Source organism: Homo sapiens, chromosome 1, assembly GCF_000001405.40.
Source record: "Homo sapiens chromosome 1, GRCh38.p14 Primary Assembly".
Taxonomy (NCBI): domain Eukaryota; kingdom Metazoa; phylum Chordata; class Mammalia; order Primates; family Hominidae; genus Homo; species Homo sapiens.
Genome location: NC_000001.11, coordinates 235,623,659 through 235,648,471, shown reverse-complemented (window position 1 = coordinate 235,648,471; position 24,813 = coordinate 235,623,659). Strand labels below are relative to the sequence as shown.

The following is a 24,813-nucleotide window of genomic DNA, read 5'->3' as shown; positions in this document are numbered from 1 at the left end:
CCTGCAAGAGGCGACTGGGGGGACAACTAAGTTGATAAATGGAAAGCCTTTTCCAGCCCGGAGAAACAGACAGAGGACCTATAAACTGGATTGTTTTTGAAATGTAGGGTTTGCTCAGTGACCGGTCATGATAAGAGATGGCTGTGGCACTTAATAAATAGTAGGTGTAAATGCAAATGCAAGGTTTACAGTGATGCCTTGCCTGTTAATGAGCAGCCTCACCATGGGGTTAGTTAGGCTGAAATGACTATTTAGGACAATGGACTTCCTGTTGGCCCCCACCTCCATGCACAACTCCAGTGCTCATAGGCCTTAAAATTCGCCCAAGGAAGCCAGTGGAGGATGTAGGCCTGGCTCAGAAACAGCACAGCTAAGGGGCCATTCCCAGCAGTCCTATGATTGGCGTTTCTCATGCAAACTGATGGTGGAGAAACCAGAAAAAAAAAAAGCTTTTCCTAGATTCACTTTACAGTTTTTAAAGCAAAAGTGACAGTCCCTGAAGTCCCCCAATATTCAGTGCATTCTTTGAAATGATAGAACATCAGGTGGGAACATCGCCTGTAATCCCAGCACTTTCAGAGGCCGAGGCAGGCAGATCACTTGAGGTCAGGAGTCCGATACCGGCCTGGCCAACGTGGTGAAACCCCGTATCTACTAAAAATGCAAAAAATTAGGCGGGCGTGGTGGTGCACGCCTGTAATCCCAGCTACTTGGGAGGCTGAGGCACGAGAATCACTTGAACCTGGGAGGCAGAGGTTGCAGTGAGCTGAGATGGTGCCACTGCACTCTGGCCTCAAAATAAATAAACAACATGAGGTGGGAACATGGACCCTGACCCCTGGGGAAGCAAGAGCCACAGCTGTCTCAGGAGGGCAGGAACACTGTAAAATGTGTACAATGCTCCTTCCCCCAAGACCTACACGCCCAAACCCACGCCTACCACAAAACTACTGCTTATGCAGAAAGCAAAGACTAAGGTCTGTACCCAACAATTTCTTCTTTTATTTATAGCTGCATCTCACTTATTTCACTATCACATTTTTCCTAGTTTGTCTCAGTTTCTGCTTGGAGAGGGGAGAATGCCTAATAATGTATGTCAGAAGATTGCCCCTTTCTTCGTGGAATTTTGAAGTAGTAACTTTAAAATATTACCTGATTTTTGTTCTTGAAACACCTTTTAAGGATATACTGCTATCTAATCTTGCTGGTTTTCCTTTTTTAAAATTTGGTATTTTTATTCATTCTAGATATACTTAGGCATAGAGACTTGTATTATTCAGGTAGAGAGATTGTTTCTTTTTTAAAACCAGAAACCAAAATTTAACTCCTTTAATAGAGGTATAAGTACTACATAAATAACCTATCAACAGTGGATAGCAAGGATATTTTAATTGAAAGTCAGAAAAGCTAAATGGTATCAGGAAAGAAAAGGAGATTGCAGGGTAATACTACCGAAAGACTGAAAGAAGCTGGTTAAAAACCTCTAAAGAATAAGCCAAAGACTGTTAATAAATGATCAAAAGTAAAAACACAAATGAAATTTTCATTTTAGGAAATGTTAAGAAATAGGGGCTAGAAAAGCTGCTGAAAGAAAAAAATTACTGCAGAGAAAACAATGGGTGCTTAAAAAGAGATCAGTTCAGTGAGCTTGCTGGAGCGTTCCAAATTCCTCTAATTGCCAAGGAGTTCTTGTTAGACTGAATGGTGGCTGGTGGGCAATCAGATTCCCTGCTGGAAATTGGTAGACAGAGTGACAGGTGCCATGCAGATAAGGGAAAGCCGGCTGTGTGCAAGACGCCGTGCTCACTGGGGAAGGAGCCCTGGGTGCCCAGGAGTGAGGAAGTATAGGGAGCTATGGAGGAACTGTTCGTCTCCATGGCCGTGAGGTTTGTGGGTCACCAAAGGCCCAGTCTCCGAGGATCGGATAGGGCTAGGAGCCCAGGTTAGTGGGCAACAAGGGGAAAGAAGGGCAATGATTGGGCTAGACGTGTCATGTGGATGATCTCCTTTGATACTCACAGGATACCTGCCAAGTTTCTAATTTGCAAAAAACAGCAGTGACTGCTTGTGTCCTCTCTGTCCAGGAGTGTTCTGGCAGCGGGTTTGGTGGGTGGTGGGAACCTTTTTTAACTGATGTAGGAAAAGTATACACAAATGACAAGTGAAAGTGACAGAGACGTGTGGAAGAGAAAAAAGTGGAGAACTGTAGAGAGACCCACACTCAGGCACTGCACATGAGCTCCTTTCCCAGGAGGATTTGTTTCTCTTGCTTCTTAGATTTCTAAAACCATTTCTCTCTGAGTTGCTGGGTTGGCTTTCTGTGGTGTGACACATGTGCTCTGAGGCCATGGAAGGCCCTAGAGATAGAAGAAGCACTCTAAGTATCCCTCTGGGCCAGAGAGATTGTTTCTTCCCCAACACCCCCTGTGCATGAGGCGGGACAACAGCCACGATGGATCATATGAGCTGGCATTAACTGTGCCTTTATGCCTTTCTCATCAGTGCCTGGACCTCCTCCTGGTGCCCCTGCCTAATGTACAGCTGTAAGGCCTTGTCTTCTGTCCCCTCCATATGGGCTCCAACAAAGAAAGAGAGGCAGGGCGATAAAATAGGAAGAAGGAAAACATTTTTAACTCTTTTTAAACATTCTTTTTTTTTTTTTTTTTTTTTTTTTGAGACTGAGTTTCCCTCTTGTCTCCCAGGCTGGAGAGCAATGGCACGATCTTGGCTCACTGCAACCTCCGCCTCCTGGGCTCAAGCGATTCTCCTGCCTTGGCCTCCCAAGTAGCTGGGATTACAGGCATGTGCCACCGCGCCCGGCTAATTTTGTATTTTTAGTAGAGACGGGGTTTCTCCACGTTGGTCAGGCTGGTCTCGAACTCCTGACCTCAGGTGATCCACCTGACTCGGCCTCCCAGAGTGCTGGGATTACAGGTGTGAGCCACCATGCCCAGCCTGAACATTCTTATTCAAGCACCTCTACAACTACAGCAGAAAAAGTGTTTACATGTTCCTCCAAATTCCAGCACCCAAACTCAACCTTGTTTCTTCTGGTGTCCCACCACACAGAGAGGTAAAATTGAGAGATTTCTAGCAAAGCAGTACCCATGTATGAAGGCCCAAAGAGGAGAAATGAGCTTAGATGGCGGGAAGAAAAGAGCAAGAGGCTGTTGAGATTGGGGTGGGAGGCAGGGCAGGGCAGGGAGGCTGCTGAGGGCTGAGAGCAGGTTCTTCTCCACAATGGCCCAGCAGGACTCTGTGGCTCAGGTCCAGACACTGATGAACAGGAAGAGCAGATGGGGTGGTCATGCCCCATGCTGGGACTCTGTCTTCCCAGAGGGTCAGGCTCTTGGAGGCCAGAGGCCAGAGGTCAGGCAGCAGTACAGGCAGCCTGGCTTTGCAGGCTGAGCCAAGTCATCAACACACCTTGGAAAGGGCTACGTGTTACCCTTCAACACCCACACGTCCACGTGGGCCCTGGGGTCTCTGGCGGCCCGGGGCCCATGTGGACGGAGTGTCTGCTGCTGCATCTCCCCTTCCTCATCAGTGGTCTCTGTCTTCCCATGGCTCCCTGTCTATAGGAAGGTCCAGCTACACCCAACAACTGGCATCCTCCTCCTGGATGTCTCTCCAGCCCGATCTGAGGAGCCATCTGCCCTGCCCTGCGGCTCTGGGGTACCCGCCCTGCACAGACCCTGGATGGAAATTTCCAGCAGGGCCTTTCCGCTGCCCCTAGCCTGTGGCCGACTAAACGAGCATGAGTCAGTCCTCATTCGGTTTTAGTTTTCCTTCAGCAATCTTGGGAAAATTCTGTTTTCTCTGTGCCCCAGTTAACTTTGCGTATCACTCAGAAGCTGCTCTAGTCTGAAGGTGCTTGTTTATCCCCCCGGCAGCTGTGGGGCTGCATGGCAGGGTACTAGGGGACTGCAGCCTGGTTAAGGAGACCTGATGACTTCAGTCTACACCGTGCATGTGTTTGACGGTGTGTGCGGGGAAGAAGGTGTTACCAGGATGAGAGACAGCGTCAGGCTTGCTCATGCCCAAGGGCAGTGGTGGGCCTGGAGTGTGGGTGTGGAGGTGGCCGAGGAGGGTCGCTCGGTGGATGTGAGTAGAAAATTCCAAAATGTTGACCTCAAGGGAAATAAAGGGGAACTGGCAGTGTTGCCGGCCACTGAATTCTCTCTGGAACAGGGTGAGGTGTAGGTCCAGGGCAAGGCCTTCGTGGGTCTCACACGCTCCCTCCCGCTGTGGCTGAATTTTATCTGATGGAGACAGAGTCACTGGCCTCTTTTGCTGATCTGGACCTCTGGGTGCCCGCGTTCCCGCCACCCAGCCCTGTCTCTGGAAGGCTGTACCCATCAACCTTTCAGTAGGAGTTTGGCGTTTCACTGCCATTCCCCTCCACTTGGTTGACCTTGTAGAATTGTGCCTTTTGGGGACTCTCTCGGGCAGATCTTTCTGTGTGTGCTCCGTGAACACTGCAGCAAGTGTGCCCTCAGCCCCTGCTCTGCCGCGTCCCCGCCTTTTTGGGTTGGCTGTGCTCACTGATGGATGGGTCAGCATCCTCTGAACAAGTTTCTCGTTAGACCCTCTCCTTGTGCTAGGGTTTGTTGCAGTCAATAGTGTCTGAAAGAAGCCAATTGCTGGCCTGGACCCAGGCACGTTTTTATTCATCAGAAATTTTCTTTGTCATGGATTTGCCATTCTAGGGCTCTGCTGATCTCACTGTGATCTTCCTGGTGTTTTTAGTTTTACTGTCCAGTACTGCTCCCCGCCACATTCCTTTTCATTACTGGGTGCTATGGAAGGACTTTTCCAATACAGACATACTGCTGGATGCGATCGATGTGTTCATCGAAGACTGCATGTGAACCTTGCATTTGTGAGGTGTTCATTGACTGCATGTGTGATAAGCACCTGCAATAAATATATGCATCAGATAGTTTAGGCACTGGTGACAGGGAAACAAATAAGATATGGTCATGCACTCCAGAGGAGTCAGAACCTAGAGGGGGTGCATGTGTGAAAACAGCCCACCTACCCTGGATTAGTGCACAGACAGGGAGAGTGTTAGTTCTTTCTGATAGCAGTGCAGAAAGCGTGTGACAACAGAGGGAGTCTTGAGCTGGCCCTGGTGAGCTGAGGCAGGTTTTTCAAGCCAGACAAATGAGAAAGGGCTTTCCAGGCAGGGCGGCCAGCAGGGGCCCAGGGTCATGAAAGAGGAGTGGAGAGAGCAGAAAGGTTGCTCAGAGCCGGGGTGTGAAGGTGAGACTGACCGTGAAGAATGGGGAATCCAGGGCCATTGTCAGGCAGAAGCAGGAAGCAGCAGGCCCCACCTTGGCCGTCTGGCTGTGACTGCCATGTGGGGAAGGTCGGAGGCGTGGGGCAGGAGAGGGAGGACAGGGAGACTGGATAACGCCCAAGGGTGCCCCGGCCCCAGCGTCAGTCGGGGTGGCCGTCTGATTGGAAACAGAGGGCCAGGGAGAGGCTGGTGTCTGGGATCCCAGGGTTTCCAGACTGAGCATGGATGGACGAGGGGTAATGTGACCTGGTTTTGTGAATGAAGCTGGGCAAGTAGAGAGAGGGTGTATGACTTGCCAAGTCAGGAGGTGACATCGAGGGGGCATGTACGTGCAGAGCTGAGCAGAGGTCTGGCTGGACCCAGGTGAAGCCACAGGGGCGAGATTGCCTGGGGTGATCCGAGGTGTGATGACAGCAGGGAGGCCCGCGCCTCCAAGAACACACGGCAAGTTTAGGACAAAACAAATATCCTTCTGTAGGAGGCACACCCTTTCTTACACAGACTTTCATGCATAGGATTCCCTTAAAAGAGACCCTCCCAACCCTGCCCTCTCCCTGGCCCCCTGCCCCTCCTGCCCGCCTCTGCAAAACCACAGCCAACCCGCCACCACCTCGCCTTCCTGGATGACTCATTCTTTCTGCGTTGAAGCAGTTGCATCCTGCCTCTTGTTTATGATTTCTTTGTCCCTCTGATGCTTACGGATTGGCTCGGACGCTGTTAGCACCCGTCTCTTGCTGCAGGCCCACGTCGGGGAATCACAGTGTATCATCCTTCCGTGCGTGGGTCTCTATTCGAGAGGGAGTTTCTGTTCTATGTTTTGCTCAGTTGCCCCCGGTCACTCTTTTCCCACCCCCAAGCACCAGTGGCCTCGAGGCGGAGGGCTGGCCTTGGCCCTGCTTCACAGTAACCGCGGCAGCTTACCCGCGACACCTGCACGGGAGCGGGGCCAAGGCTCACCCCGCCCCTGCCGGGCCTCGCTCGGGTTCTTCCACCCTGCGTTCGCCTCGGACCGCTGTGGTTAGCTGTGAAATGCCCCTGCGGTCTGGTTTTCTCTCCTTTTCCGCACGGTTCTTAGTGTGTTATGTTGCTTTTCCGCACTGTACGTTGGAAGCTCTAGGGCTACGAAAACGCAGGCAGTTGCGGGGGAAGCGAAAAATCCCCGCCCTCATGGAAGTTCTGTTACGGTGGAGGAATCAGACCAATGATAAGAAGTCAGAAAATCAAAAGTAGTTTAAACAAGTACATGAATAAATAAGCATTTAAGATATAGTAAGTGCATGAGAGAAAAATAAAACAAGGCTGGGAGGTAGGGAATTCCGGGGAAGGGGGTGGCTCACATTTTAAATAGGCTGCTTGTGGGAGGACCTGCCATGTTGATCCGAGGTTAAGGTGACCTCCCAAATGAGCTCATCTGATGCACGTGGAGCCAACAGGTGAAAGTGTTGATGGAGTCACAGATTATTTATTTATTTATATTTTTAGGTGGAGTCTTGCTCTGTCACCCAAGTTGGAGTGCAGTGGCGCGATCTCGGCTCACTGCAACCTGCACCTCCCAGGTTCAAGCCATTCTCCTGCCTCAGCCTCCCTAGCGGCTGGGATTACAGGCGCCCGCCACCACGCCAGCTAATTTTTTGTATTTTTAGTAGAGACAGGGTTTCACCATGTTGGCCAGGCTGGTCTAGAACTCCTGACCTCAGGTGATCCGCCTGCCTCGGCCTCCCAAAGTGCTGGGATTACGGGCGTGAGCCACTGTGCCCCGCCGATTATTTATTTAGTTTTAGAGGCAGGGTCTTGCTCTGTTGCCCAGGCTGGTGTGCAGTGATGTGATGGTATTTCATTGCAATCTTGAGCTCCCCAGTTCAAGTGAGCCTTCCACTTCAGTCTCCTAAGTAGCTGGGGCTACAGTTGCCCACCACCATGCCCGGCTAAATTCTTTTAAAACTTTTTGTAGAGATGGGTTCTCACTATGTTGCCCAGGCTGGTCTGGAACTCCTGGCCTCAAGTGATCCTCCCACTTCGGCCTCCCAAAGTGCATAATTACAGGCATCAGCCACTGCACTTGGCCTACAGATTAATTTATGCCCAAGTGCCTTCCTGACAGAATAAGGTGGCTTTCCCCTCCTCTCACCCCTAGCATATAAGAAAGCTACATTAACCAAAAGGAGTATTTGGTAGTGTAACTCAAGGTAGAGGAAGAGACAGAGATTCTTTTTGCAAAATGACACGCAAGAAGCAGCCCCTTCTCACTCCAAAGTGGGCCTCTTCACAGCCTGGCTGTTTTGTGGGTGCTCCACCCATCCAGGGACTGGGGCTGCTGGGCCCAGTGACCTCTGACCTGCCAGGCGCCAAGCGGCAACAAAAGGGAGGGAGAGCTCTGGCCCACCGGGCAATTTGACTCTTCCTGGAGCCCTGCAGGGGGTGGTGGCCCCGAGAGGCTGGATCAGAGACCCTCAGGTCCGAAGGTCTGGTGGGCTAAATGAAGTAGAGAGGCCGCCCTCAACTCCACCCTGCCGGGATTCAGGCGGGCTCAAGGACGCAGCTTGGCAAGGACTGTCTTATGTATTCGCCTTGATGCGTGGTCTGGCAGGTTCACTGTAGTCTGTTGAATGATGTGTGTATCCTTTCTTCTGTTTTACACACCTGTTTTGAGAACCATTTACTTGTAGCACAGTCTGTGTATAAAGCCTAAGGTAGATGCAGCAGTGGTTCTCAAACCTGGCTGCATACATTTTGGGCAGTTTTTAAAATATCCCTTCTTGGGCCTCATCCCCTGGACATTCTGACATAGTGGGTCTGGGCTAGGGTCCGGGAATTAGTCTTTGAGTTTTGCAGCCACCAGATTTGAGATGCATTGAACCAAATGATTTCTGTGGGTCCTTATTCCTGATATCTGATTCCCCCCAACCTGCCTAAGCATCCCCAGGCTCTTGTGTCCTATGCCAGCCTCTCCCGCTCCTCGTGGGGCTGTGAGGGTTTGACCACCGTAAGCATGATGTGCCTGCAACACCAGGTCTCCTCCCCAGGCTGAATGCATGGATCTGTCCTCTTCTGCCTGGGGTGAGAGACAGCCTTCTCTGTGGGGAAACCAGCTACCACCCTGAAGAGCTGCCTCTGTCAGAGCACAAGATCCCCACCTAGAGACCCCCTCACTGCTCCCCTCCCACAGCAGCAACGGCAGCTCTGAGGTTCTGGACACCCCAAAGGACACAGACCTACCTTCACCCATGAGCCGTCCAGGAGACATTTGACAGCTGCTGTGTGCCATGTCCTAGGGGTAGGAATGCAAAATAAGTCAGAGGCCATCCCTGCTCCTGAGGCATTTACAATCCAGTGAGGGAGACAGAGGATTATAACACAACACAGAGCGGGGCACGGTGGCTCACGCCTGATATCCCAGCACTTTGGGAGACCAAGGCGGGCAGATCACCTGAGATTGGGAGTTCAAGACCAGCCTGGCCAACGTGGGTGAAACCCCGTCTCTACTGAAAATACAAAAATTAGCTGGTTGTGAGGCAGGAGAATCGCCTGAACCCAGGAGGCAGAGGTTGCAGTGAGCTAAGATAGTGCCACTGCACTCCAGCCTGGGCGACAGAGTAAGACTCTGTCTCAGAAAAAAAAAGCATACAACACGGAATTAAGAAAAGCTCCCACCTCAACACAGAAGGACACCAAGCCCGGCCCAGAAGGACAGGGAAGGCATCTGGAAGGAGGTCTCATGATTTGGCCAGATGGAACTATTGGGGCACAGCCAGTGCAAGGCGAAAGCCTTCCAGGCTGGGGGCTCTGTTTCAGCAAGGGAGAATGATTATGGCTCACATTAATTAAGTGCTTCCTGCAGCCCAGGCTCTTAGTGGCTTATGTTGTATGAACTACTTATTCCTGATGACTACTGTGGTAGGTAGAATCATGGTCCCCAAAGATGGCCACCCTCTAATCCTTGGAACTTGTGAATCTGTGAATCTTACACAGCAAAAAAGATTTTGCAGATGTGATTAACGGAAAGATCCTGAGATGGGGAGGTGATCCTGGAATACCTGGCAGGCCCAGTGTCGTCACAAAGGTTCTCATAAGAGGAAGATAGGCGCATCTGAGAGAGAAGGTGGGGGATGCTGCTGGGCTGGCTTTAAAAATGCAGGAGGGCCCGTTACTGGGTATATACCCAAAGGATTATAAATAATTCTACTATAAAGACACATGCACATGTATGTTTATTGCAGCACTATTTACAATAGCAAAGACTTGGAACCAACCCAAATGCCCATCAATGATAGACTGGATAAAGAAAATGTGGCACATATACACCATGGATTACTATGCAGCCATAAAAAAGAATGAGTTCATGTCCTTTGCAGGGACATGGATGAAGCTGGAAACCATCATTCTCAGCAAACTAACACAGGAACAGAAAACCAAACATCGCATGTTCTCACTCATAAATGGGAGTTGAACAATGAGAACACATGGACACAGGGAGGGGAACATCACACACCGAGCCCTGTTGGGGGGTGAGGGGCAAGGGCAGGGAGAGCATTAGGACAAATACCTAATGCAGGCAAGGCTTAAAACCTAGATGATGGGTTGATAGGTGCAGCAAACCACCATGGCACACGTATATCTATGTAACACACCTGCACGTTCTGCACATGTATCCCAGAACTTAAAGTAAAATGTTAAAAAAAAAAAAAAATGCAGGAGGAGCCACAAGCTCAGGATTGCAGATGGCTGTAGACACTGGAAAAGGCAGAAATACGAACTCTCCCCAGAGCTTCCACCCACAGCCCTCCTGGCACCTTGATTTTAGTCCATCGAGACCCATTTCAGACTTTTGAACTCCAGAACTGTAAAATAATAAAACTGCATTGTTTTAAGCCATAAATATATGGTAATGTGTTGTAGCCACAATAGAAACCAATACAACCATTCCTCTATTTTGAAGGGAAGAAAGCAGGAGGTGAAGGGAATTACCCACATTTCCGGAGCTAGAAAGGAGCAGATTCAGGCTCCAGGGCCTGCACCTGTCCACTCACCTCTCTTCTGTTCCTCCCGCCTGGAAGGGGTTTAAAAACAGCAGTCCAGCAGCTGGGGCTTATCGGAGACCAGGAGCATTGGAAGATGAAGCTGGCCAGATGCGCAGGCAGGAGCCAGGGTCCGGGAAGCTCTTCTTGGTCAAGTAGAGGGAAGTGGCTTTGCAGGCCATTGGCCTGGGCTCCTTTTCGGTGGTCTCCTCAAGTCTGTGCCGGACTGGGAGTGCCACAAGAGCAGAGGTCAGCTCCTTGGGCCCAGTGCACCCACATGTGGCTTCAGCCACAGAGTGAGCTGTGTGCCCATACAGACTGTGCCGCCTCTCTCCATTATCAGATGGTTTAAAAGTGCCACCCTGGCCAGGTAGTGAAGGGCAGACATCTGGTTAAGTGCCCGCAGCATCCTTATGCATCGAAAATTCTCCTATGTTCAAACATCTGTTTCCACCTCATCATTGTTTTCCTCATTCTAATTTTTTTTTTTTTTTTTTTTTTGAGACAAGGTCTTGCTCTGTCTCCCAGGCTGGAGTGCAGTGGTGCAATCTCGGCTCATTGCAACCTCCACTTCCCAGGTTCAAGCGATTCTCATGCTTTAGCCTCCCCTAGTAGCTGGTATTGCAGGCACGCGCCACCGCGCCCAGCTAATTTTTGTATTTTTCGTAGAGAAGGGGTTTCGCCATGTTGCCCAGGCTGGTCTTGAACTCCTGGCCTCAAGTGATCCCCCCACCTTGGCCTCCGAAAGTGCTGGGATTACAGGTGTGAGCCACCGCGCCCAGCCTCATTCTAATTCTTTAATATAAAGCATCCCCCATCTTCCAGCGTTTGACTGAAATAGGTGGTCAGAGGAATTTTTAGGTGGTGTTTTAAGCATTGTTTTTTTAAATAAAGGACACGTAAGCATAACCTGAAACTACTCCCGATATGTCTGCTCAATTTATATTCCAAGTATTTTGCAGGCTGTGCTTGGATTTTCAAAGGAGCAATCACTAGCATTTGATTAGCATTTTTCAGTTTGCTAAAAGCATTCATGTACCCTGTCCACTTGATCTTTACAGAAATGCCAGGAGGCAGGGATTTTTTTTTTTTTTTTTGAGACGGAGTCTGGCTCTGTCGCCCAGGCTGGAGTGCAGTGGGGAGGCAGGGATCTTTATCCCCATTCTTGAAGGAGGAGACTGTGGTTCAAAGGAGAATCACCATCAGGACAAGGTGCCTAGAGGAGCAAGGACGGCACCCAGGGCTTCCACTCGAACTCCACACTGTTCCTAGGGTATCCTCTTGCCCTAGGGGTAAGAGGTAGCAGCTGGGGTAGCAGGGAAAGACCTAGAATGCACTTACAAGGAAATAGGGTCCCAGAATCCAGTTCCGATGTGTCCCTCCCAGGTACAGAAGTACAACACTGGGGCATCCGCATGCCATCGCCTGTCAGTATTGGGGATCCCACCCTGCTTTGGGGGTTCATCGGATCTCTGGTCTTAACATGAGATTGTTGTATGGAGGAATGTGATTGAGGCTCACCAACATCTCAGGGCACAGGCAATTGCCCTGCTGGAGGACCCATGGAGATACGCAGGTCTCTGATGGGAGGTCTCTGATGGGAGGTCTCAGCGTGGGCACCGTGCCTCTGCGTGGCCGTGGCTTGCTGCAGGCACTGCTCCCCATGTGGCAAAGATGAGGGAATGCAGGCCTGCTGCTCAGTGCCAGCTGCTCTCCTCTACACGGGGCTCCCCTAGACCTTGCCCCAGGCCTCACCGCAGGACCTGGTGCCTTTGGGGTTCCCCTTTTCTGAGACCCCCAAAGAGCCTTCCTCAAATAAATCAAAGGCTTTAGCGTCTAAAACTTGTTCCTGAAGAAGGCTTTCTGAACCCGCTTTGGAAGTAAAAAGCAAAATTCCTCTTTGCACTTCTGTGTAATCGTCCTCATTCTCCTTGAGGCAGTGCGGATAACTCTGGCTGGTCAGAGGAGGGGCAGGTATGAGGAAGCACGGTGAAAACAGCCCAGCCCTGTCTCTCAGGATATTCTCCCTCTACAGAGAGAGAGCCAGTTCCTCCCTACACTAGTCTGGGCTTACCTGTCTAGCAAGAGGAGGGTTCCTGGCCATTACCTGGGTGTCCCCTGGCAGTGCAGCAATACCAGGTTCTCAAACACTAACTGGTTGGTTAAGGAGGTTAAGTTACCTTCAGTCTTCTGCCCTTCAGCTTCCTCAAGGTGGAAGGTGGGCCTTCAGAGCCACTGCAAGGGGTCTCTGAATACAGGTGCACAACCCAGGAAACCTGTGTAGAGCAATTGCGACTGCCATGTGTTTGTATCCTGCTGATTAATTTGCAAGTATGCATAGATGCCTTTGGGATTAATAAAGATGAATTTAAGTATGTTACTGAATTAATCACAGCTTTGTCGTGTTGTATCTTCTGTGGCGACAGATACTGAAAATACAGCCATGTATTAGTTGGTTTTGTGTTGCTATAAAGAAATACTTGAGGCTCAGTGATTGATAAAGAAAAGAGGTTTATTTAGCCGACAGTTCTGCAGGTTGTACAAGCATGGCACCAGCATCTGCTTCTGGGGAGGCCTCAGGAGGGCTCCACCCCCATGACTCAAACGCCTCCCACCAGGCCCCACCTCCATACATCAGGAATCACATTTTTCCCCGCCGAGATGGAGTTTTGCTCTTGTTGCCCAGGCTGGAGTCCAGTGGTGCGATCTCAGCTCACTGCAACCTCCACTTCCTGGGCTTAAGTGATTCTCCTGCCTCAGCCTCCCAAGTAGCTGGGATTACAGGCGCATACCACCACACCTGAATCATTTTGTATTTTTAGTAGAGACAGGGTTTCTCCATGTTGGTCAGGCTGGTCTCGAACTGCTGACCTCAGGTGATCCACCCGTCTCAGCCTCCCAAAGGAATCACATTTTAATATGAGATTTGGATATCCAAATATCCAAACCATAAGAGGCTGTAAGAGACTGCGTTTGTCTGATTGACTTTAGAAGGGACCTAATTTATAAATGTTTAAACTTTGCGCTTTAAAACCATTGGAACCATGGTTTGCAAAATCCTTCCATTTCTGGTGCTCCATGGTTCATTAACAATGCCATGTTCTGGTACATTTTCTAAATTTATTCACTGTCTATACCCGGCTTTGTATTGCCTTCCTCTATCAGCTGCTGACTTCAGCAAAGGAAGTATTTCTTTTTTTTGTTTTGTTTTTTGTTTTTTGAGACAGAGTTTTGCTCTTGTCGCGCAGGCTGGAGTGCAATGGCACCATCTTGGCTCACTGCAACCTCCGCCTCCTGGGTTCAAGCTATTCTTCTGCCTCAGCCTCCCGAGTAGGAGGCATGCACCACCACGCCTGGCTAATTTTGTATTTTTTAGTAGAAACAGGGTTTCTCCATGTTGGTCAGGCTGATCTCAAACTCCCAACCTCAGGTGATCCACCCGCCTCAGCCTCCCAAAGTGCTGGGATTACAGGCGTGAGCCACTGCGTCCAGCCAGCAAAGGAAGGCAGCCTTACTGTGGGGTCCTAATTAGGAACAAGGAGCCAGGCTGGTGGGAGCAAGGGAAAGCAGAAAGAAAATACAGATAAGCTATAAATCTGCGTTTCTTCATAGTCTAGGACACATAGCCCATCTGCGCAAATGACTCACGATCTTCCTGCACCCAGATATCACCAGACCCTCGGTTGATAGAAAAATGCAAGTTAGTTCACAGCCACCTTGACATTATCAATACTGCACTTAGCCCTCTCCAGCACACAGAACAAGCTCCATCCTATAAAATCCCCAGGAAGCCTTTGTCTCCTCCAGTCAGCTCCTCTCTTGCTAACTGGCCTATTGCTTTCTTGCAACATATTTCCATGCTTTTGCTAATAAATCTGCATTTCTGTACCTATGACTGTCTTGGCAAATTCTTTTTACTGCCCGTGCCACTGGCCCCAGACAGTAACCACTCGTGACACAAGGGCATTGACTGGGAAGCTTTACAGAGAGTGAGTCTTCCTGGTGCAGGGGTGGAGGGTAATTTTGAGACTAGCTGATCCCTCACCCTCCCTGGAGGAGTGGGGACTAGTTAGTGACCAGTGGAACTAACTGTGCCATCCTGTAGGACCCCAATCTGAGCTCTCTCTGATTTCGAATCCTCCCATTTCCCACCATGAACCTTTCCTAGGACCAGAGCTTTATTTTTCTGCTTCTCACATTTGGATTCTCGTCTTTTTATCCTTCCCTATTTGCTTATAAAGACTGTCCATGAGCTGGGCCATGTGTACATTTTTCTTGCTTTTTATGGCCTTATCCTGGTTGGACTTCTCCCATCCAGCTGCTTCTTCACCCACCACCAGGTGACTCCTGGTTGAGAGGAGAAATAGGCTGAGCACAGTGGCTTATGCCTATAATCCCAGCACTTTGGGAGGCTGAGGTGGGAGGATTGCAAGAGGCCAAGGGTTTGAGGCCAGCCTGGGCAACAAAGTGAACTTCTGTCTCTACAAAAAATTTTAAAAATTAGCTGGGCACAGTGGCATGCACCTGTAGTCCCAGCAGCTTGAGAGGCTGAGGCAAGAGGATCACTTGAGCCCAGGAGTTCAAGGCTGCAGTGAGCTATGATTGCACCACTGCACTCCAGCGTGGGCAACAGAATGAGACCCTGTCTCAAAAATAAAAATTTTTTAAATTTTAAAATAAAGTGGAAAGAGAAATAACCAGAGCCAGCCTCCCTGGCAGACTGTCTTGCTCGGAGGCTTCCCAGCACTGTCCCGCCATATGGTACATGAGAAGTTCTGTCATTTCAGGTGAAGGGGTGCTGGCACAGAGGGCAGATCTTGTCATCTGTGGCTTTTTTGGCTCCTGGGAAGAAGTGGAACTTATCCCTGCTTGTCTCCATCCCCAGCCTGCCATTCATACCACCAGCTCTGCTGCTCAGGGACAAGTCTCCATGAACAACCATATCGCAGGGACCAGCAGCAGGCTGTCACTCATTAAAACAACAACAACTGCGTCAGACTCTACATCGTTTTTCCTGGAAAGTATCCAGATTATTTCCAGGCTTTTTAAATGAGTCCTATATTTTTTTTCACTGCTGCCAATATACTCTCTTCCATGCATGGCGTACTTGAGCAACAGACATCAGCCTGTCTGCAAGGTCTGAATAACCACCGTAGAGAGATCCTTTGAATGTATGGAACAGATGATCAGCAGTGTCCGTGGGTGACAGCCTTCAAGATTAGTTCTTCCTTCCTCTTTTAAAAGCAATTTTCTTTGAATAGTCTTTCGGTTTCATCCATGCTTCTAATCTAGAATGAAAACTACGTGACTACGTTTTTTCTTTTTCTTTTTGCTTTTGTTTTTTCAGAATCGAGCCATTAAGTTGTTACTTAATCTCAACAAAGGCCGATGACAATGTCTAATATTCTAGGAATGTGCCAAGTCGTCATCTTGGTTTTGTTCCCAGCTGAGGCATTTTACTTAATTCTAATCGTTTTGGGGCAGGAAGACGACAGACAGTTACAAAAGGGAAGACTAAAACACAAAGAGAAAAAACCTTGTTCAAAGTCATACAAATAATTTTTAAAAATAGAAATAGGATTAAAAGCAAGTCTCCTGGCTCCTCATCCACTCCTCCTGTCTGAAAAATACTTTTTCCAGTTGGTTAAACCACATCTCCAGAACCACTTCTCTGTTTGTACTTGTAAGGCAGAATTTTCTAATTCATTTCTGGGAGCTCATTTTGCAGCCTAGGTATTCAGTCTTTGCACACAGATGAGAAACATGTTGGCCGGGTGCAGTGGCTCATGCCTGTAATCCCAGCACTTTGGGAGGCCAGGGTGGGAAGATCGCTTGAGCCCAGGAGTTGGAGACCAGCCTAAGCAATCTAGTGAGACCCTGTCTCTACAAAAAATAAAATAACTAGCTGGGCATGGTGGTGTGTGCCTGTAATCCCAGCTCCTCAGGAAGGAGGCAGGAGGATGACTTGAGCCCAGGAGGAGTTTAAGGCTGCAGGGAGCCATGATGGTGCCGCTGCACCCCAGCCTGGTTGACAGAGCAAGAACCTGTCTCTTAAAAAAAGAAAGAAGGAAAAACATGTCAACTAAGCCTTGCCCTGCATGACGGGCTGTTCAGCTGGGAAGCAGCAAGCCTCCGCACACAGCCCTCTGCTGGTGACCTCCCAGGCCCTCCCAGGCTTCACTTAAACTCTGCTGTTTGAGGTGTGCACAGAAGGAAGTATTCTTGCTATCTTTTGGTTAACTGAGAACTCATCCACGTATTGCCACTCATAGGAATTAGAAAAAACTGGCCAGGCGCGGTGGCTCATGCCTGTAATCCCGGCACTTTGGGAGGCCAAGGCAGGTGGATCACCTGAGGTCAGGAGTTCAAGACCAGCCTGGCCAACATGGTGAAACCCCATCTCTACTAAAAATACAAAAATTGGCTGGGCGTGGTGGCATACACCTGTAATCCCAGCTACTTGGGAGGCTGAGGCAGGAGAATCGCTTGAACCCAGGAGGAGGTTGCACTGAGCCAAGATAGCACCACTGCACTCTAGCCTGAGCAACAGAGCAAGACTCTGTCTGAAAAAAAAAAAAAGAAAGAAAGAAAAGAAAAAAGTAAGCTACGCTGGGCATGCAAACAGTGTTAATGCAGAAGCCACTTTAGGGTCCAGGCACCGAGCCTCCGCTCAGAGCATCAATGCCCACCAGCCCTCAGTGCTGCATGCTCCAGGACGGTGCTTCCCAGAGGTTCTCAGCTGATAGAGCAGCATGTAACCAGTGTGGAAAGATCAACCTAGGCACATTACAATTTTAGAGAGTTTATCCGAGCAGAGGGTGATTCATTAATTGGACAGCACCAAACTGCAAGAGGTTCAGGGCTCCACTGAGGGGGCGTGAGGGGTAAACATTTATAAGGTGTTCTTGGAAGCAAGACAAAGAAAAAATACTTGATCAGTTAAAGTGGAGAGTCTCAGCTGGGCACAGTGGCTCACACCTGTAATCCCAGCACTTTGGGAGGCCGAGGAGGGCGGATCACCTGAGGTCAGGAGCTGGAGACCAGCCTGGCCAACCTGGTGAAACCCCATCTCTATTAAAAATACAAAAATTAGCTGGGTATGGTGGTGCGTGCCTGTAATTCCAGCTACTTAGGAGGCTGAGGCAGGAGAATCGCTTGAACCTGGGAGGCAGAGCTTGCAGTGAGCCGAGATCGTGCCACGGCACTCCAGCCGGGGTGACAGAGCAAGACTCTGTCTCAAAAAAAAAAAAAGGAGAGTCTCTCATTAGAAATTAGCTGGTGATTGGTTAGGCTCACGTTTCATTTTACTGTTGACATTGAGTTGGGTTTAGTTTGCTTAGGTCAGAATCCTAGGCAAAACAGCCATCTCAGCCTCTGGCCACCCAATTGATTATTTTCTAACACCAGCTACAGTAGTATTTCAGAGTTCCTCTTCCAGAGCCCGTGTCCCTCAAGTCTACAGGCCATGCGTCTAGGTCATTCTGAGCTGCGTCCACACTCCCACGGTGACTTTCTGGTCATTCCTGGGGCAGCTTGAGCCATCAGACAGGACTTGCGTATGACAGGCGACCCTGCTCCAGAGGCCTTGAATTGCTGTCTCAGGCAGTGCTGGCTGGCACTTTGCAAACCGTGTACTTTCGTCAGAATTCCCGGGACAAACAAAACACCCGGCTGTTGCTGCTCAGCCTTGATGACGGCATCTGATAAGTGATGAGAGCGTGGCATCATCAGGCTGTTGGTCTTGATTATTCAAGTAGTTGAGTCACAGGCTGCTGTTTTCAGCAGCAAACATTCAAGTACTTACGGCATTTGAAGATGTGTATCTGGCAGCTTTAAGGTGCTGACAATGTGGGGACCTTTCTGAAATAGTCCCACAAGAGAATTCTTGAATGTCTTGAAGAAAGATGACCAGCCTCTTTTGTGAGTGTGCGTTTAGTGTATGTGAAGTTATGGGGAATGGAGGTTACTCATTCTATTTTAACAGACAGGGAAGTGTAAAAGTGAAGATGTGTGGCATCTCTACTCACCAACTCTAATCCTATTGTAGTATCTACCCTGGAAAAATTATCGTGCAAGAGACATGCTCATAACATCATTGTACAAAAGAAAATATTGGAAATAATTCATTGTCCACCAACATGAGAAAGGATAAGTAGAGGGGAACAATGTGATGAAGACAGTAAAAACCCAGAAGTGTCATAGAAATGAAGGGGAGTGCTCAGGTCCAGGGACCAAGGTGGCTGCCCAGCTCAAGAAAGCTTTGAGCCAGGCATGGTGGCTCATGCCTGTAATCCCAGCACTTTGGGAGGCTGAGGCGGGCAGATTATCTGAGGTCAGGAGTTCGAGACCAGCCTAGCCAACATGGTAAAACCCCATCTTTACTAAAAATACAAAACTTAGCTGGGCATGGTGGCATGCTAGTCCCAGCTACTCGGGACGCTGAAGCAGAAGAATAGCTTGAACCCAGGAGGTGGAGCTTGCAGTGAGCCGAGATCATGCCACTGCACTTCAGCCTGGGCAACAGAGCAAGACTCAATCTTAAAAAAAAAAAAAAGAAAGAAAGAAAAAAGAAAGAAAAATTTGAGAGGCTGGTAGCCTCAGAATGAACCCTTGAAGGAGGGCAGAGATGGCTTTTCACAAGAAGTGTTGGGTGCTGAGTCAAGGAGGGGTAAAGTAGATAAAATAGTGGAAGCAAAAGCATGCGAGTGGAAGAGGCCTAGGTCCCCGAGAGTAAAGGCAACTGCATTGAAATTCTTTAATTTTTCATACCATATGGGAGAAGTTGGGACCAATTTTTTTGCTTCTTGTAATTGCATTTGACATTTCAGAAGAGTTATCCCAACTTGGTATGGTGACTCACACCTGTAATCCCAGCACTTTGGGAGGCCAAGGTGGGAGGATGGCTTGAAGCCAGTTATTTAAGACCAGCCTGGGCAACAAAGCAAGCCCCTGTCTTCATTTTTTTTTTAATTGGCGGGGCATGGTGGCACGTGCCTAGGGTCTCAGCTACCCAGGAGGCTGAAGTGGGAGGATCTCTTGAGCCCAAGAGTTTGAGGCTGTAATGAGCTGTGATTGCACCATTGCACTCCAACCTAGGCAACAGAGTGAGACCCCATCTCTAAAAACAAACAAACAAAAAAGCAAAAAAAAAAAAAAAAAAATTCAAGCAAATGTTTGACTTTATCGCTTCCAAGGAGAACAAGTGCCAGTTTTGTCAGAGAGGAAATGCATGTCCATCTCCTGGGTCCTGCTCAGAACCAAAGGAAGCTGAAGACTCTACAAATGCAAAAGTGAAGGGAATGGCAAACCCTGAGAGAAGCCATACAGAGAAAGGAGGCTGGGCTTCCTGCAGGGAAGCTGTCTTTAAAAAGGGCCACCACCTAGCACCTGCGGATCAAAGTGAATAGGGCTGATGCGAGTCTCAATCCCCATATTCAGATATGCGGGGAAAAGTGACTTTTCTAAATGTTTTAAAACGCAAATCGAAGCATGCATTCTGCCTGTTTGGCCTGCTTGGGTTGCCTCAGTGTTTCCCCAGAACTTACACAGGACCAGGTATCTGTCCACTGGGTGACCCGTAGGACACCATCATCTGGGTGGGGACCCTTTAGGCTGGTTGCTGTTGGTGGTCTTGGGTCCTGCCTGGGGACACAAAACTCTCCACAAGACTGCCCATGACCTCCTCCGCTTCAGGGCACCCAATGGCCATTTTGTTCTAGGGTCTTGTAACCCCCCCCCGTCTCCTAACAAGGCTTTGTGGCCCCCAACCACCCCAGCTTGCAGAGAGGGTCACTCTCCGGTCCTGCAGGCAATGCTCTTCTTCCTCCTGCTTCTGGCCAAGACATTTTCCTCCGATACTCTGAATTCTTTCTCACCTCTGGGGTTTAGGCTTTTGGAAACAAAAGCCAGAAAGACTCTTGGGCCATGTCTGGTTTTTTGTTGTTGTTGTTGTTGTTGTCTTTGTTGTTGTTGTTGAGACAGAGTTTCGCTCTTGTTGCCCAGGCTGGAGTGCGATGGCACAATCTCAGCCCACTGCAACCTCCACCTCCCGGGTTCAAGCCATTCTCCTGCCTCAGCCTCCTGAGTAGCTGGGATTACAGGTGTGTGCCACCACGCCCAGCTAATTTTGTATTTGTAGTAGAGACGGGGTTTCTTCATGTTCGTCGGGCTGGTATCGAACTCCTGACCTCAGGTGATCCTCCCACCTCGGCCTCCCAAAGTGCTGAGATTATAGGCATGAGCCACCACGCCCGGCCCCATATCTGTATTTTAACCCATCACACCCATCCCTTCCTTGAATGGGGAAGTATTGGTTGATATCACAAAATACTATCCAGTCTCATGGTTGAAACTAAGGATCCTGATTTTCCTTTCAAAGAGTTCAGTATACTCCAGTCTTCCTCTCTGATGAAGTTAACATACCCGGAAGCCTTCCAGTTTCCAACAGTGTCCTGGGGAGAGGCCATTGTAAATGGTCTGCAGCACAAGTCTGAAGCACAGATTGACTGCCGCAGCTGGTTCCTGCATGCATCAGTGGTGATCAGAGCTGCCACTTCCTCACAGCCCCCTGTGCCGTACCAGACAGTTTTCCAAACCCTTCACTCACATGATCTCATTTCATCTAAAACTATGTCGGCCAGGTGCGGTGGCTCATGCCTGTAATCCCAGCACTTTGGGAAGCCGAGGCGGGCAGATTACAAGGTCAGGAGTTTGAGACCAGCCTGGCCAATATGGTGAAACCCCATCTCTACTAAAAATACAAAAATTAGCTGGGCATGGTGGCGGACACCTGTAGTCCCAGCTACTCGGGAGGCTGAGGCAGGAGAATTGCTTGAACCCAGAAGGCGGAGGTTGTCGTGAGCTGAGATTGGGCCACTGCACTCCAGCCTGGGAGACAGAGCGAGACTCTGTCTCAAAAAAACAAAAACAAACAAACAAACAAAAAACTATGTCATGGGGTAAGTGCATTTTACCTATTCCACAGGTGTGAAAACCCCAGGCTAGGAGAGATAAGACAGCTTTCAGAAAGTCATGCTGCCAAGTGACAGAGCCTCCCTCAGGTCTGTGAGTAGCGATGGTGCATTTCTCTTCCTCTTGTTTGTCATGAGAAAGTCTCCCAGTCCCAAAGACAGTCTCTAATTTGGGTTCTAAGTTCTTTTTTTTTTTTTTTTTTTTTTTTTTTTTTTTTTTTTTTTTGAGATAGAGTCTCACTCTGTCACCCAGGCTGGAGTGCAGTGATGCAATCTCAGTTCACTGCAAACTCCACCTCCTGGGTTCAAGCCATTCTCCTGCCTCAGCCTCCCAAGTAGCTGGGATTACAGGCATGTGCCACCACGCCCAGCTAATTTTTGTATTTTTAGTAGAGACAGGGTTTCACCATGTTGGCCAGGCTGGTCCCTAACTCCTGACCTCAGGTGATCCGACTGCCTTGGCCTCCCAAAGTGCTGGGATCACAAGCATCAGCCACCGTGCCCGGCCTGGTGTTCTTTATGAAGCTGCTGTCTTGGCAGCAATGGTCACGGAAAAGGTCCTATCAGAGAGTGACGAGTTTGCTCAGTAGACGGTGGGGCTGGACATTAGTGCAGCTGAGGTCTGACCACATCAGCAGGACCAGAATTAGGTGAGAATTTAAAGAGGCACTCGGCCGTGTCTCATCGCACTTGCAAGGCCCTGAGATAGATCACCTCTTTAAATTCTGTGTTCTAGGTCCCTCACTAGCCTCCCTCTAGTCCCAGGCCCTCCCTATGAGCTTTGAAAAGCTTGGGAAAGTCAAGAGAATGAGCAGACAAGTCACAGATTGGGAGAAGACATTTGCAAGACATCTGATAAATGCTGTCACTCAGAATACAAAAGAACTCTTAAAACTCAATAGAAAACAAAACAAAACAAAATCCTATTAAAGATGAGCAAAAGTTTTGAAAAGGCATCTTACCAAAGATACAAAGATGGCATTTGAAGAGAAGCTCAACATCATATGTCATTAGGGAAATGCAAATGAAAAGGAGGAGAAACCACTACACACCATTTAGAATGGCCAAAATCCACAACCCTGAGAATACACAAAGCGGGCCAGGATCTGCAGAAGCAGACACTCTTGTTCATTGCTGTTGGGAATGCAAAATGCAACAGCCACTTTGGAAGACAGTTTGGCAGTTCCTTACAAAACGACACCTCCTCTTCCCATATGCTATAGCAATTGCACTCCTTGGAATTTTCCTGGGTTGAAAACTTATGTTCACACGAAAACCTGCACACAGATGTTTATAGCAGCTTTATTCATAATTGCCCAAACTCGGAAGCAACCAAGATGTTCTTCAGTAGGTGAATGGATAAATAAGCTGTGAAACATCCAGAAAATGGAATAGTATTCAGTACTAAAAAAGAAATGAGCTATCAAGTCATGACACAACATAGAGGAGACTTACATACGTATTGCTGAGTGAAAGAAATCAGTCTGAAAAGGCTACATACTGTGATTCCCACTATATGACATCCTGGAAAAGGCAGAATTATGGAATCAGTATAAAGATCAGTGGTTGCTGTGGTGGAGGCACCTCCTGCTCTGAATGTGGCGTTGGGGAGGGTTGAATAGGTGGAGCAGGAAACTCCTCTGTGTGACACCATAATAGTGAGCACCTGTCATTAGACATCTGTCAAAGCCCATAGAATGTGCAGTGCCAAGAGTGAGCCCTATTGTAAACTATGGACTTTAGGTGATATTGATGTGTCAGTGTTGGGTCATTGATGGTCACAAATGGACCACTCTGGTGCAGGATGTTCATGGGGGAGGCTGCGCCTATTTGGGGACAGGAGTTATGTGGGAACTCTGTACTTTGTGCTCACCTTTGCTATGAACCTAAAACTGCTCTAAAAAATAAAGTTTATTTTTTTTAAATGCCGGGAAGTTTGCAGAAGAAGGCTAGGAAAATGGGGAAGAAAAGTACTGTCCCAGGGCAAGAGGAGAAAGCAAGGGAAAGGGATATCATTCTTGTGGCTTTGTGTGGGTCACAGGGTCGGCCTGCAAAAGACATCAATCTTCGTTCCCTCCCCCAGAGCCCCAGAGCCCCTTTGCCAGGCTGGGGCCCTGACCTGCTTCTTGGAAACCCTTCCTCATCAGCTTGGCAGCTGCCCGCATCCACCAGCACCTCAGTGTGGGTCCTCAGCAGGCTGTGGTTCCTCCTTGAACCTACGTTTGAGGTCAGCGGTTCCCCACGTTCCAGAAAGTCAGCTGTGTGTTGCAGACATTCCCACAAGCTGCAATTTACCAGCAACCATCTTCTCCCAGTGTTCAGGAGCCTGTTTGCAAATAGCACTACTGGCCAAGCAAATAACCAGTTAGCTGAGGAGCTGGGAGAGGAAATGGTAGTGGAGCCAAAGGCAACAAGGAAACCTTCTTTGATCTGTCTTAGCGCTAAAAAAATCTCATAGGAAGCAAATGAAATGAGAAGCAAAATTGCACACAATGTTAAGCAAAACCTTGATACTCTGGAACAAAGACATCCTGTTTTTTAACAAAGTTAATTCTTCAGGAATGTAAAAATGAATGGTTTGCCCGAGGAATGGTTATAGAAAATTCATTCTTCTTGAATAATGCTAGGAGCTGGAATATGACAGCTTTTGTCTTTTCTTCAGTTAAAAAATGAAATGGAAAACTCAAAATTATCATTTTCCTCTAACTGTCACTTTCTACTTTGTAAAAATAGCCTTTCTATTGAAACAATATCATGTCAAAATGGAATTGGCAGCCGGGCACGGGGGCTCACACTTGCAATCTCAACACTTTGGGAGGTTGAGGCGGGTGGGTCACTTGAGGTCAGGAGTTTGAGACCAGCCTGGGCACCATGGTGAAACCCCCATCTCTACTAAAAAAAAAAAAATACAAAAATTAGCCGGGCGTGGTGGTGCGTGGCTGTAATCCCAGCTACTCGGGGGGCTGAGGCAGGAGAATTGCTTGCACCCAGGAGGCAGAGGTTGCAGTGAGCCAAGATCACGCCACTGCACTCCAGCCTGGGTGATACAGCGAGACTCCGTCTCAAAAAAAAAAAAAAAAGGAATTGGCCACACAGACTGAAGTACTAGATGATCTTTGAAGGGACTGCTAGAGCCACGCTCTTCAGGCATGTGCTTTTCACCTGTACTCTGGCCAGGCAAAGGCTCGGAGGACCCTCCGTCTTCGGCTCACAGCATTTAAACATTGTGGAGTTTTTGTGTTATTGTGATTTTTAGATGTCCATTTTGTCTCTTTAGTAGAGAATCAGATAGATAATAGAAATAATCATTCTTCCCTCAGCTTTTTGCAAGCTGGGAATACAGAGATGTGCATGAAAGAGGAGGTCTTTCTCCTACCCCAGCTGCTGGTTGCTGGGGAGACAGCATGATGAGGGGGGCTGCTGTGGCGGAGGCACCCCCCGCTCTGAATTTAAAAGGTGAAAGTGGTCAGGAAAGATCCTCTGGAGGTCAGGAAAGATTCCCTGGAGGTCAGGACAGCTGATGCAA

At 48.7% G+C, this 24,813-nt stretch overlaps 1 protein-coding gene and 1 long non-coding RNA gene across 7 annotated transcripts in view, besides 1 other annotated feature; one reads left to right on the top strand and one right to left on the bottom strand.

The window, feature by feature from the left end:
• Window positions 1-24,813, top strand: part of GNG4 (G protein subunit gamma 4) — a 102,924-nt gene that overhangs the window by 2,137 nt on the left and 75,974 nt on the right. The window contains exon 1 of one of the 4 annotated variants that reach the window (XM_047418084.1): window positions 21,355-21,377. The exons of the other annotated variants lie outside the window; for them this stretch is intronic. The gene's annotated coding sequence lies outside the window, so the exon portion shown is untranslated. Of the gene's footprint in view, window positions 1-21,354; window positions 21,378-24,813 lie in introns of those variants that run through there. 4 annotated transcript variants of the gene reach the window in all.
• Window positions 189-483: an enhancer, noted in NCBI's record as "tiled region #105; HepG2 Activating non-DNase unmatched - State 2:TssF". NCBI's record gives its function as "activates a minimal TATA promoter and a strong SV40 promoter by Sharpr-MPRA in HepG2 cells {active_cell/tissue: HepG2}" and the evidence as "EXISTENCE:reporter gene assay evidence [ECO:0000049][PMID:27701403]".
• LOC124904560 (uncharacterized) lies at window positions 4,641-8,429 on the bottom strand. 3 transcript variants are annotated; one of them, XR_007066960.1, is made up of 4 exons: window positions 6,224-8,429; window positions 6,002-6,089; window positions 5,632-5,731; window positions 4,641-4,917 (listed from the first exon to the last, which is right to left on the bottom strand). It is a non-coding gene; the product is annotated as an uncharacterized LOC124904560 (long non-coding RNA). The 3 variants fall into 3 exon arrangements; XR_007066959.1 differs by lacking the exons at window positions 5,632-5,731; window positions 6,224-8,429 and having other exon boundaries at window positions 6,002-6,207; XR_007066958.1 differs by lacking the exon at window positions 6,224-8,429 and having other exon boundaries at window positions 5,632-6,149.